Source organism: Homo sapiens, chromosome 13 (genome assembly GCF_000001405.40).
Source record: "Homo sapiens chromosome 13, GRCh38.p14 Primary Assembly".
NCBI classification, from domain to species: domain Eukaryota; kingdom Metazoa; phylum Chordata; class Mammalia; order Primates; family Hominidae; genus Homo; species Homo sapiens.
The window spans coordinates 24,366,942-24,381,865 of NC_000013.11; the positions used below are offsets into that span (position 1 = coordinate 24,366,942).

Sequence of the window (14,924 nt, forward strand, 5' to 3'; positions counted from 1 at the left end):
ATCTATCCTGTTGTTTAGTAAAGATATGTTGTAATACTTTACACAAATGGTATCCCACGGTGCATATCATGTGTGCCCCTTGTTTCTTTTTTTAACTCAACATTACATTTTCAGGCTGGTCTGCATCTGTGCAGGACCAACTGTTGCAGATGCCCCTGTCTTACTAATTTCTGTGAGTTCTTTACACACGCTGGATGATGAACACTGGTCTGTTATGTGTAAGCAGACCAACTACTGGATAGTACTTTGTACACATATGCCATGGATGTATAGCCTGTGTTCACTCGCCAGCCCTCATTGTTCTGATGGGTCACTGTCATAAGGGGGGCAGCCGACACATTCCTGGGGAGACCTTCTTGTGCAAATATGCAAAAAGGTCTCCAGTCTAGGAGAGAGGGACTTGCCAGGTGGAGGAACATGCCTGGTTCCAGCTTCATTAGGAGTAGCTAAATGGCTCTCCAAAGGGTGGAGCCAACAAACCTTCCCTTTAGCATGGGCCTAGCGCTCCCTTGCCCACTGCCAGCTTTGTTACTCTTAGATCCTTAATCTCTGTTAATCTGATGACTATAAAGCAAAAGGTTACTTTAATTTGCATTTTCCTGGCAACTGGGGAGAGGCTGCATCTTTTCAGGTCATTGTGTGTCTTGTTTCCTCTTCTGATAATTGCGAGTTTGTATCATTTGCCTGGTTTTCACTAAGTTCGTTATACAGTAAACATGCATATGTAAACGTATATATCTTTACTAAAACAACAGGATACTTTGTGGTAAACATATCAAACGTGATTGATAAGGCTGTCAAGGAGAGAAGATAGTGGGATTGGTAAATGACATACCAGGTCTCAACTCTATTCATAAATGTTTCACTTCTATTTGTCTTATTGACTTCTGTGGGCTCTTTATATGAAATGGATAACCATCATCTCTCTGTTATGTTTATAGCAAATGTTTCCTCCTGAGTGTGGCTGGTCTTTTGACTTTCAGCTTTGTTTGTGGCACCTTTTGTTGTATAGAAGCTATTAATCATAACAGTCAGCTTTATCAAACTTCAATTTTATGTGGTTTATGTTTGTCTGTCTTGCTGAAGAAACTTTTATGGGCCAGGTGCAGTGGCTCACGCCTGTAATTCCAGCACTTTGGGATGCCAAGGCAGGTGGATCACTTGAAGTCAGGAGTTCAAGACCAGCCTGGCCAACATGGTGAAACCCATCTCTACTAAAAATACAAAAATTAGCCCGCTGTGGTGGCGTGTGCCTGTAATCCCAGCTACTCAGGATGTTGAGGCTGGAGAATCGCTTGAACCTGGTAAGTGAAGGTTGCAGTGAGCCACTGCACTCCAGTCTGGGCAACAGAGTGAGACTCCATCTCAAAAACAAAAACAAAAACAAAAAAAAAAAAGAAAGAAAGAAAAAGGAACTTTTCTGTACTTTGACATCATAAAGCTATTTCACTATAGTTTATTCCAAATGTTTTAAAGTTTTGCATTTCATAAGTAGGACTTTAACCCATCTGAACTTTATTCCTGGTGCAGTGTTAGATAATAATATGAATATTTTACCTTTCTGTCAGTGACATTTGACCAACAAACCCTTGTTCCTGTTGATGTATGGATTCCTGTGGTGCGTACCGAGTTTCCACTCTGTGCAGGTCTGCTTTTGCTTTTCTGTTCTGTTCTGCTGATCTGTTTATTCTTGAATAGTCTTTATCAAAACTCTAGAGGAAATCTCTTGCTATTTGGTGTAGGGTCCAGCCCTACGGGGCTTAGCAGGTGTTCTCCCCGTGTGCGGAGATGAGAGATTGTAATAAATAAAGACACAGGACAAAGAGATAAAGAGAAAACAGCTGGGCCCGGGGCACCACTACCATCAAAATGCGGAGACCGGTAGTGGCCCCGAACGGCTGGGCATGCTGATATTTATTGCATACAAGACAAGGGAGGCAGGGTAAGGAGGGTGAATCTTCTAAGTGGTTGATAAGGTGAAGCAAGTCACATGATCATAGGACAGGGGGCCCTTCCCTTTTAGGTAGCTGAAGCAGAGAAAGAAGGCAGCATACGTCAGCGTTTTCTTCTATGCACTTATAGGAAAGATCAAAGACTTTAAGACTTTCTCTATTTCTTCTACCGCTATCTACTATGAACTTCAAAGAGGAACCAGGAGTACGGGAGGAACATGAAAGAGGACAAGGAGCGTGACCACTGAAGCACAGCACCACAGAGAGGGGTTTAGGCCTCCAGATGACTACACGCAGGCCTGGATAATATCCATCCTTCCACAAGAAGCTGGTGGAGCAGAGTGTTCCCTGACTCCTCCAAGGAAAGGAGACTCCCTTTCGCAGTCTGCTAAATAGTGGGTGTCTTCCCAGATACTGGCATTACCATTTGACCAAGGAGCCCTCAAGTGGCCCTTATGTGGTTGTGACAGAGGGCTCACCTCTTGCCTTCTAGGTCACGTCTCACAATGTCCCTTCAGCATCTGACCCTATACCCGCCAGTTATTCCTAGGTTATATTAGTAATGCAACAAAGAGTAATATTAAAAGCTAATGATTAATAATGTTTATAATAATGATTGATAATTGTCTATGAACATCTCTATATCTAATTTGTATTATGACTATTCGTATTCTATTTTCTTTATTATACTGAAACAGTTTGTGCCTTCAGTCTCTTGCCTTGGCACGTAGGTAATCTTTTGCCCACATTTGGTAGAGAAAACATCTCTACCCTCTGCTTCTTCTTCAACCCTGTCTTCACCATCCTTGGTTCTTTACTATTCCATATGAAGGGATAATCCATCTTACCTGGTGCTATGAGAAAACACTGCTAGGATTTTAATGAAATTGCATTTAATTTATTGATTATTTTACAGGAGAGCTGAACATTTGAAACTGAGATTTTGCATTCATGATGTAGCCTTCCAATTAGTTAAATCTTCATCTATAGCCCTTAATAAAATTGTTTTAGTTTCTCATTTAAGATGTCCCACGTCTTTATTATACTTATTTCTAAATACCTTAGAGTTTTATTGTTATTGCGAAAGGTGTGTTTTTTCTATTACATTCTCCAATTGGTGTTGACTATTGCATAGCCGTGCTGTGGATTTTTATATCTTCTTATATTAAACCTCATTAGCTCTCATTGTAAAGTCTTAAAAATTTTTGTGTGTAGAAAGTTATATTGTCTACCCAAAAAATGTGAAAATTTATGTCTCCTCCTTTCCAATCCTCACTCCTCTTTTTCCATCTCGTCTTGCAACGTTGGCTGGATCATCAGACCATGCTGAGTGATGGCTATGAGAGAGTCAACTCCCTGCTTTCCACTTTAATGGGACTGCATCTGGAGTTTCATGGGAAGCTTGAGCTTTGATACAGGCTGGCTGTGGCTGCGTTTTATCAGGTTAAGGTCATCCTTGTAGCTCTTGTTATCTAAGAGCCTCTGCTGGGAAGGAGGGTAAAATAAACCCAGGCTACATCCTCTGAGATGATGGTAAGTTTCTCTCCTGAGACTTATTGATAAGGCTGAAAATAAGAGTGAGTTTCCTAGTGATACTTTATGCTTATGTTCCCAGGACAAAGCCTGGATCATCACAACTGAATCATAACTGATTCTGCAGCTGGTTCCCCATCCTCACCCCTGGTGTGACCAGGCAGGCTGGCCATGTGCTCTGCTGACCACTGGCTCTTGTTGATGATCCCCACCCCCACATATACACATAGCTCAATGGACAAAAATTTCTAGGAAGAGAGTGGAGCCGTTATCTAGGTATCTATTACCAAAGAGCCTCCCACAGAGGGGTAGTTCCATCAAAAGGAGTAACTGACCCAGGGAATAGGTGTATGTATTTCTCTCCAGAGCAAAAAGGTTGATGTATACACATCTGTTCCACCAAATAGGCAATCTGGTGACTGTTGGGCTAAGCGTCCAGGGATCTGAGGGCCTCTCTGGGTTCTCCAAGTGCACTCCTCCCCCAGTGCCAGGATTCAGGGCCTGCCTCCTGAGTGGCTCTCATCCACTCTGTCTCTAGGACAATGCACCCACAGCACCATCGGCCCAGCACAGCACCCCCTGCATTCCTTGCTGCCCTCCAATCGCTTGGGTGTCCCATATGATGAGTGCAGCCTAGCAGTGGGGTGGGCAGGGCCGTGACTGGGCTTCTCGCATCTCTTGTGTTATGTTTATTTCCTCTCCTCAATGCTTCCCACCCCAAAAGAAAAAGGAATGTTCCAGGGCAGAGGATGTGAGTTGAATTCACACATTGAAGTTAGGGGTACTATTGACAGGGGCAGCGGCTGGACACAGCCGTGGGTCAACAGCGCTTAAAAAGGATTTGAGAGTCGTGAGGCTCAGGATGGCATCTGAGGCCACAGGAGCATATCTCACTCACTCACACGCCTGCCACGGGGCTGAGGGTGAGCTGATGAAGGAGGGAAGAAAGGAAGGAAGAACTGGCAGATAAGTTGGTTTTAAAATGACTTACAATGTTGTGATTCAGTGGTTATTCCCTGAGCCTCCCCTCACCTGCTCTTGACCCCGGACTTACCACGGAGGTGTCTGGACCATACTCCAGGGGGCGGCTCTGAGCATCCCTCGGTGTCTCCTTTAGCCATTCTCCTTACTCTGCTCCAGTGGTCCCTGAGCAGTCACTGCTGTGGGAGAGAAAAGCTATCCTTCTATGTCACTTCGATGCAAAATTTGTGACTCGCAAAATATTAACTGACTGATGTTTAGAGACACGTCATCCTTGGCAGAATCAGAGGCACAACTTCCCTTGAAAAGCTCGAGGCAGGTGGCTTTGGCCACCTGGCCCTCCTAAAGACATCTGGTCTCTTTCTTTCAAGTCAAGGGCAGAGACTTGGGGCGTTTGGAGAGAGGTCTGATGTGACTTTCCACTTTAAATCGTGAAAGAGGGATGCTGGAAGCATGGCTTTATCACTCCCTTCTCAAATCAACCTACCCACCTCTTCTGAAATGAATGCTGGTTACTGGGTGGGCTGAGTCCTCCCTGCCCCAGACAGGTGGCAGTAGAAAGCGGTTGAGAGTGGCAGCAACTTGGAAGACTTACAAGGCTTACTCATAAATATGTAGATTGCCTAGTGAGGATGTAGATAATGTACATTGCCTATTGATAAAAGTATCACTAGGCAATCTATTTAGAAATACACATGCATATGTATAAATACTACTTTATATATAATGTATATATACATATATGCACATATATATCAGTAAGGATTCATGAACATTTATTTTTATTTATTTATTTTTGAGTCAGAGTCTCGCTCTGTCTCTAGGCTGGAGTGCAGTGGCACAATCTCAGCTCACTGCAACCTCTGCCTCCTGGGTTCAAGTGCTTTCCCTGCCTCAGCCTCCCGAGTAGCTGGGACTACTCCCAGCTGGTGTAGTAGTAGTAGCTGATGGCACACTCCACCATGCCCAGCTAATTTGTTTTTATATTTTAGTAGAGACTGGGTTTCACCATGTTGGCCAGGATGGTCTTGATCTCCTATTTTGCATTGCATGTGCTTTATTTTGTTGCTCAGATTATTCCAGCTCTGGCTATTGGGAGTTCTTTCAGTAGTTCCTGTGTCCCTCCGGCATAATCTCATTCTTGTGGGGTTTTTAAACACTTCTTTACTTCCTGGCACTACACGATGCTCTAGGCTTCTTTTGTATAATTCCTACCCCAGCCCTATCTAAGGATTTCTGATTCCTTTTATTGGAGAAAAGCATTAGAAACCAAGATGTGGGCACTGGGTGTGCTTATTGTGACTAGAGTGTCAACGGAAATTCTGGAGATTAAAAGTATAATAATTAAAGTAGAAAATTTACTAGAGAGGTTTCATGGTAGATTTGAATTGGCAGAAGAGATAATGAACAAATTAAATGATAAATACAGAGTATTCAATTTGGAGAATAGATAGAAAAAAACTAACACAGCTTCAGTGAAATGTGGAATACCACTAAGCACCCCAACCTACATGTATTGAGAGTGCCAGAAGGGAGGAGAAATAGAAGAAGACAGGAAAAGTGCTCAAAGAAATAATGGCTAAAAACTTTCCAAATCTGATGAAAAATACTAGCCTCACATCCAGGAAGCTCAATACTGCAAGTGGGATAAAAACAAAGAGAAACACACCCAAACACATCATAATCAAAACGTGAAAGACAAACACAAACAGAAAAGTTTGAAAGCAGTTGATGACAGAAAAATCCAAATTTTGCCAAAATATATTTAAAGAGGTTTATTCTGGGCTAATTTGTGTGACTATGGTCCAGGTTACACAATCTCAAGAGGTCCTGATAAAGTGTACCTGAGGAGGTTGGGTTATAGTTTGGTTTTATGTTGGGAACAGGCCCCCAGATCTGGCCATAAACAAAATCTCTGCAGCACTGTGACATGTTCGTGATGGCCATGATGCCCACACTGAAGGTTGTGGGTTTACTGGAACGAGGGCAAGGAACACCTGGCCCACCCAGGGCGGCGTTCCTAAACCACAAACAATAGGATGAGCGATCTGTGCCTTAAGGGCATGTTCCTGCTGCAGATAACTAGCCAGAGCCCATCCCTTTGTTTCGGCCCATTCCTTTGTTTCCCATTTTAGTTAATCTATAATCTCTAGAAACAATGCTTATCACTGGCTTTCTGTCAATAAATATGTGGGTAAAACTCTGTTCATGGCTCTCAGCTCAGAAGGCTGTCAGCCCCCGATTTCCCACTTCACACTTTATATTTCTGTGTGTGTGTCTTTAATTCCTCTAGTACCACTGGGTTAGGTTCTCCATGACTGAGCTGGCCTTGGCAGTTTTACAGATTTCAGGGAGACAGGAATTGCAGGTAAAATAATAAATTGATATGAGAAGGGTGCACACTGGTTTGGCCAGAACAGGCGGGACATCTCAAAGCGGGGGCTTACAAGTCATAGGTGGGTTTAGGGGATTCTTCAGTTGCCAGTTGGTTGAGACAGTTAAGCTATCGTCTAAGGACTTGAAATCAGTGGAAAGGAATGCCTGAGTTAAGATTAGGAAGTTTTGGAGGCTGAGGTTATTATGTAGATGAAGCCTCATGGGTGGCAGCTCTCAGAGATATAATAGTTGGTGAATGACTCTTTTCAGACTTTAAAGGTGTCAGGCTCACAGTTAATCTCTCCTAGAGCTGAGAAAGCCTGGAAGGGAAAATACCTGGTTATATTCATGGAGATTCTCTGTAGCTGCAAATTTTCCCCATAAAAGATGGTTTTGCAGGGCCATTTTAATCTGTTGGCACTATGGCAGCCATTTCAAAGTATGTTAAAGAAATATATTTTGTGGTAAAATATTTTTATTAGTATTTCCTTTAGAGTCTGCTATCTGTCATGTGATAGTATACCAAAGTCAAGTGGAAAGCAAGCCACATTTAATAAAAACCTGTCTGGTGAGATTTTTATGGTTTGTAGAGCAGGACTCCCCAGTCCCCTTTAGATAGGAATTTGGGCAAGAGAAAAAAAGGTCCCTATTTAGTCCTCACAGCAAGAGAAAAAAACAAAAAACAATTCATGCGAAGGGACACCAATAAGATTAACAACTAACTTCATTAGAAATAATAGAAGCCAGATGGCAGTGGAATGAAATAGTGTTGAAAGACAAAACACGGTCAACCAAATATCTTATTTCCAGCAAAACCATCTTGAAATATAAAGGTGAAATAAAGACATTCCCAGATAAAAACTGAGATAATTTATTGCTAGCAAATCTGCCTTACAAGAAATACTAAAGGAAGTTCTTCAGACTGAAAACAAGCAACACAAGACAGTAATTCAAATCCACACAAATAAACAAAAGTGTCAGTAGACTGCATAATTGCATACCTTCGCTTTATTTTCTTGCCTTACTTAAAAAGTAATTACATAAAACAATATATGTAATATAAAAGTGTATTGTTGGGCCTCAAAATGGCCTCAAAAAATGGGGAGAGAATGGAGGAATATAAGGGTAAAGCTATATTTCTCTGGAAATGTCAGAATAAACTTGATATATTAAGATATATACTGTAAGCCCTAGGGAAACCACTTAAAAAACCCTCAAAATATAATATAAAATTTATTTAAGAAATTAGTGATGTCTAGTGTTACATTAGAAAATATCTACTTAATACAAAATGAAACAATAAAGGAGAAATCATGTAACAAAGATGATAAGAGACCTATAGAAAAAGGTAAAATGTCAAATGTCAATCTAACTATATTGATCATAACATTAAATATGAAAGAATTAAACACTCCAATCAAAAGGCAGAGATTGTCAGGTTGAATTTTTAAGAGATTGAGGCCAGGCACGGTGGCTCACACCTGTAATCCCAGCACTTTGGGAGGCTGAGACAGGCAGATCACGAGGTCAGGAGATTGAGACCATCCTGGCTAACATGATGAAATCCCATCTCTACTAAAAATACAAAAAATTAGCCAGGCGTGTGTGGGCGGCAAGCCACCCAGGTGCTGAGGCAAGAGACAGAGGACACGAGCTGTTCCAGTATAATAAAATATAAAACAAGAATAGTTATACCAGATATAGATCTTAGATATGATTATATATGAATATCATTAATCATTAGTTTGTAGCAATTACTTTTTATTCCAATATTATAATAATCCTTGCTTTATAATCATAGCCAAGGAAAAACCAGGCCATACGGAGATAGGAGCTGAGGGGACAGTGAGAAGTCACCAGAAGACAAGAGTGCGAGCCTTCTGTTATGCCCAGACAGGGCCACCAGAAGGGCTACTTGGTCTAGCAGTGACGCCAGCGTCTGGGAAGATGCCCATTGCCAGGCAGACCGTGGTCTAGCGGTAGCAAAAAGTGTCAAGGAACAACACCAGCTGCTTAGCAGACCGGGAAAGGGAGGCTCCCTTTCCCTGGGGGAGTTTAGAGAACACTCTGCTCCTCCACCTCTTGTGGAGGGCCTGACATTAGTCAGGCTTGCCTGCAGTTATCCGGAGGCCTAACCATCTCCCTGTGATGCTGTGCTTCAGTGGTCATGCTCCTAGTCCGCCTTCATGTTCCATCCTGTACACCTGGATCTGCCTTCTAGATAGCAGTAGTCAATTAGTGAAAGTACTAAAAGTCTCTGATATGCAGAAATAATGGCATAAGCTGTCTTTCTCTCTGTCTCCTCTCCCTCTCTGCCTCAGCTGCCAGGCAGGGAAGGGCCCCCTGTCCAGTGGACACATGACCCACGTGACCTTACCTACCATTGGAGATGACTCACACTCTTTACCCTGCCCCTTTTGCTTTGTATCCAATAAATAACAGCGCAGCCAGACATTCGGGGCCACTACCGGCCTCTGCGCATTGGTGGTAGTGGTCCCCCAGGCCCAGCTGCCTTTTCTTTTATCTCTTTGTCTTGTGTCTTTATTTCTACACTCTCTCATCGCCGCACACGGGGAGAGACCCACCAACCCTGTGGGGCTGGTCCCTACAGGCGTGGTGGCATGCACCTGTAATCCCAGCTACTCAAGAGGCTGAGGCATGAGAATTGTTTGAACCTGGGAGGTGGAGGTTGCAGTGAGCCGAGATCACGTCACTGCACTCCAGCCTGGGCGACAGAGTGAGATTCTGTCCAAAAAAATTTTAAAAATTAAAAAAAAAGATCAAACTACATGTTGTTTACAAGAGACACATTTTATATGCAAAGATACAAATGGGTTGAAAGAAAGGGTGGAAAAGAATACACCATATAAACAACAATTATAAAAGACTTGGAGTGGCTTTCCTATGATCAGACAAAATAGGCTTTAAAACAAATGAGTGGCCAGGTGTGGTGGCTTACACCTGTAATCCCAGCACTTTGGAAGGCTGTGACGGGTGGATCATGAGATCAAGAGTTTGAGACCAGCCTGGCCAAGATGGTGAAACCCTGTCTTTACTAAAGATACAAAAATTAGCCAGGCACAGTGGTGGGTACCTGTAATCCTGGCTACTCGGGAGGCTGTGGCAGGAGAATTGCTTGATCCCAGGAGGCGGAGGTTGCAGTGAGCCAAGATTGTTCCACTGCACTCCATCATGGGCGACAGAGCAAGACTCTGTCTTGAAAAAAAAAAAAGAGCAAAAAGGTTACTAGAGATAAAGAGAAACATTTCACAATGATAAAAGGGTCAACTTATAAAGAAGATATAACAATTATAAATGTATATGCAACTAGCAAGACAGCCCAAAAACATTTGAGATAAAACTGACAGAACTAAAATGGGAAATAATTGATCATTCCAACAATAATAGTTAAGGACTTTAATACCCCACTTTCAATAATGAATAGAACAACTAAGGCAGAAGACCAATACGGAAAGAGAAGAATTGAACAACACTGTAAACAACTAGACCTAATAAACACCAGTGAATATGCCACCAACAACTGTAGAATATGCATTCTTCTCCTGTACACATGGAACATTTCTTGGAATAGACCAATAAACACAATTGTCTTGAGTTAGACATTTAAGCACACCCCAATAAACTTAAAATTATTTAAATGATACAAAATATTTTCTCCACTCACAATGAAATTAAATTAGAAATCAATAATAAAAGCAAATTTAAAATTCACAAATAGTGGGAAATAATACACTTCCAAATAACCAATGTGTCAAAGAGGAAATTTCAAGGGATATTGGAAAATTCATTTAGATGAATAAAAATGAAAACACAGCATACCAAAACTTATGAGATGCAAATAAGCAAATAAAGATGCTCTGAGAAAATTTATACCTCTACCTATATTTTAAAAGAAGAAAGATCTCCAATTAATTACCTAACCTTCCAATTTCAGAAAGTAGAAAAGCAAGAGTAAACTAAAACCAAAGCAAAGAAAAGGAAGGAAGTAATAAAGATTAGAATAGAAATAAAGGAAATAAAGAATATAACACAATAAAGTCAACAAAGTCTAAGGTTTTGTTCTTTTGAACACAGGTTTTGTTCTTTGAAAAGATGAACAAAAGTGACAAATCTTTAGCTATACTGGCCATGAAAAAAAGAGAGAAGACTCAAACCGCTAAAATCTATAAGATTACTGATCTTACAGAAATAAAAAGGAGAATAAGGGAATGCTACAAACAACTGTCTGCCACCAAATTATATAATTTAGAAGAAATAGACAAATTCCTGGAAAGAGAAAACTACCACAACCGGTTCAAGATAAAAATAGAAAACCTTAATAGACTTATAACAAGTAAAGAGATTGAATTAGAATTAAAAACCAAATTGAAACATAGAAAACCTCCCATTAAGAAAAGCCCAGGTCCTAGATTAACTGCCAAATTCTATCAAATGTTCTTAGAATTAGTATCAATCTATAAGTTCAGTATTAGCCTGATACGAAAACCTGACAAAGATATCATAAGAAAAACAAAAACAAAAAAACTCTGGTGAATTCTCTTCTGAATAGAGATGGGAAAATCCTTGAAAAAAATACCAGCAAACTAAATCCAGCAACATATAAAAAGGAGTATGTACCATGACCAAGTGGGATTTATCCCAGGAACACAAGGTTAATTTATCATTAAAAAATCAATTAATGTAACACACCATATTAATAGACTAAGGGACAAAAATCATGTTATCATCTCAATGCAGCAAAAGTATTTAATAAGCAACATTTTTTGTGATAAAAAAATTCAACAAACTAGAAATAAAAGAGAACTTCCGCAATCTGATAAAAAGCATGTACATGGCCAGATGCAGTGGCTCACGCCTGTAATCCCAGCACTTTGGGAGGCTGAGGTGGGCAGATCACAAGATCAGGAGTTTGAGACCAGCCTGACCAAGATGGTGAAACCCCGTCTCTACTAAAAATACAAAAATTAGCCAGGTGTGGTGGCACTCGCCTGTAATCCCAGCTACTCAAGAGGCTGAGGTGGGAGAATTGCTTGAAGCTGGTAGGTGGAGGTTGCAGTGAGCCGAGATCATGCCACTGCACTCCAGCCTGGGTGACAGAGAGAGACTCCATCTCAGAAAAAAAAAAAAGCACGTACAAAAAACTTACAGCAAACTTCGTACTTAATGGTGGAAGATTGAAAACCTTGCCCTCTATAATCAGGAATAAGATGAGGATGTCTGCTCTTGCCATTTCTATTTGACATTGTATTGGAGTTTCTAGCCAGGACAATTAGGAAAGGAAATGAAATAAAAGCATTCGGATTAGAAAAGAAGACGTAAAACTATCTCTGTTTGCAAATAATATTATGTTGAATGCAAAAAACACCTCAAAGAATCCACAAAATAAAAATTATTAGAGCTAATAAATGGCTTAAACAAATTTGAAGGATATAAGATTAACATATTAAGACAAAAATCAGTGTATTTCTGTACACTAGAAATGAACATTGAAAATAAAATTAGGAGAAAAATACATTTATAATTGCATTCAAAACATGAAATACTTAAGTATAAATTAAACAAAATAAGCATAAACCTTGTACACTGAAAACTGTAAACATTGGTGAAAGAAACTGAAAACAATCAAAATTAATGGAGACATACCATCTTCATGGGTCAGAAGATTTAATATTGTTAAAATGACAGTACTGCCCAAATCAACCTGCAGAGTCATCTCAATTCGTATCAAAATCCCAACTGACTGTTTTATAGAAATTGACAAACTGACTATAAAATTCATATGGAAACACAAGGGACTCAGAATAACAAGGAAAACAAATTGAAAAGAAAGGATAAAGTTGAAAGACTCACACTTCCTGATTTCAAAACTTACTACAAAGTGACAGTAACCGAGACAATGTGATACTGTCATGAAGACAGACATACAAATCAATAGAATAGAATTGAGAGTCCAGAAATTAACCTTTTCATTCATCGTCAATTGGTTTTCAACAAGGTGCTGAGACGGTTAAGTGGGGGAAAGAAGTGTCTTCTCAATAAATGACTTTGAACAGCTGTATTTCTATATGCAAAGGAATGAATAACTTCTAACTGATACCATACACAAAAATTAAAACTCAAAATGGATCATAGACCTCAATGTCTATGAGATAAAAGAGTTTAAACTACAAAACTCTTAGAAGAAAACATGAAAGTCAACCTTCATGACCTTGGGTTAGGCAATGGTTTCTTAAATAGGACACCAAGAGCACAAAAATATCAACCAAAAATAGATAAACTGGGCCAATCAAAATTTAAACTTTTATGCTGCAAATAATACCACCAAGAAAGCAAAAGTACACCACCATAGAATTGGAGAAAATATTTTCAAATCATAGATCTGGTAGAAGTCTTATATCCACTATATATTTAAAAATCCTTATAGCTCAATAACAAAAAGACAAAAAATACCATTTAAAAGGGGACAAAGGACTTAAATAGACATTTCTTCAAAGTAAATATACAAAAGGCCAATAAGCGCATGAAAAGCTGCATAATATCTTTCCTCATCAGGGAGGTACAAACCAAAACCACAACCAGATTCTACTCCACATCCTGAGGACGCCTAGGATCAAGAAGACAGATAATGACAGCTGCAGATGAGGATGTGAAGGAACTGGAAGCCTGTTTTGCTGATGGGGTTGCAACATGCTGCAGCTGCTTTGGAAACAGGTTGGCGATTTCTTATAATGTTAAACATAGATTTACAATATGACTTGGTAATTCCACTCTTAAGTGTATATACCCAAAATAAATGAAAACACATGTCCACAATTTTACATGCAAATTTTCATAGCAGCACTATTCATAATAGACAAAAATTGAAATAACTTAAATATTCATCAACCAATAAATGAATAAATAAAATGCATTATATCACTACAAAGAAATATTATTTGGCAATGAAAAGGAAATAAAATACTGACACATTCCACAAAATGTTGACAGGGATGAACCTTGAAAACACACTAGGTGCAAGAAGTTGGTAACAAAGAGCCACATATTATAGGATTGCATTTGTAATGAAGTGTTTAAAACAGGCCAATCCATAGAGACAGAAAATGGATTAGAATTTGCTTAGAGCTGGGAAGTGGGCAGAGAGGAATATGAGTGACTGTTAATGGATAAAGGTTTTCTTTTATGAGAAACAAAAATGTTCTAAAGTTAGATTATGATGATGGTTGCACAACCCTGTGAATATACTGAAACACATCAATTTGTACACTTTAGGTGACTCACATGGTATGCAAATTATATCTCCATGATACTGTTTCTTTTTAAAAAAAACATCACCAGGTTTAAACAGGTCAAAGCTGGCTTTCTTTACATAATAGTAAAAATAATTTCAATGTTATTTTGAACATTCTGGGACATGGGAAAAGATGGGAAATTTTAATTGTGTAAGTGAAACTTTAATTGTATAATTAAAAGAGAACAGAAAAAGATAATTATAAACTGACTCACAATATACATGCAAAAAGAATCTGAATAAAATATTAGCAAATAGAATCCAGAAATATATTTCTAAAAATCCACTATGACCAAGTATTCTGTATCTTTTTTCAGGAATACAAGAGAGTTCAATACCAAGAAACTAGCTACAAAATTTAGTATATCCATTGACCATATGATCCCATCAATAGACACAGAAAAAGCATTTGAGAAAACTCAGCAATTGGTTCTGCAAAAAAAGTCTTGAGAAAAGTAATACTAAAAAGAAACTACTACAAAAGAGATCTCAAAACCCGGCAGCAATTTGCAGCGGAATTGTTCTCCCATGGTGCCTCTACCATGTTGCACCTCTCCTTACAGGCCTCCTAGAGGAGGCTTGACCACAGTCTAAGCTGAGTCCTGGGCATGATTTCTCCTGAAGCAAGGGGAGATTAGCCTGGGGAGGAGTCAGTGAGGGCAGCCCCCGATCCGCATGAGAATGCCTCCTCCAAGGTTTGCTCATCCATCTCCCCAGTTTCCATTGAGCACAAAGCTCTTCCTCACCACTCCCCTGTCCTGTGGAGCTGCCGG

The 14,924-nt window shown here is 39.8% G+C and overlaps 1 annotated feature.

Annotated features, from left to right (window-relative positions):
- Nucleotides 14,630–14,924: a silencer, noted in NCBI's record as "tiled region #8397; K562 Repressive non-DNase unmatched - State 21:Repr". NCBI's record gives its function as "represses a minimal TATA promoter and a strong SV40 promoter by Sharpr-MPRA in K562 cells {active_cell/tissue: K562}" and the evidence as "EXISTENCE:reporter gene assay evidence [ECO:0000049][PMID:27701403]".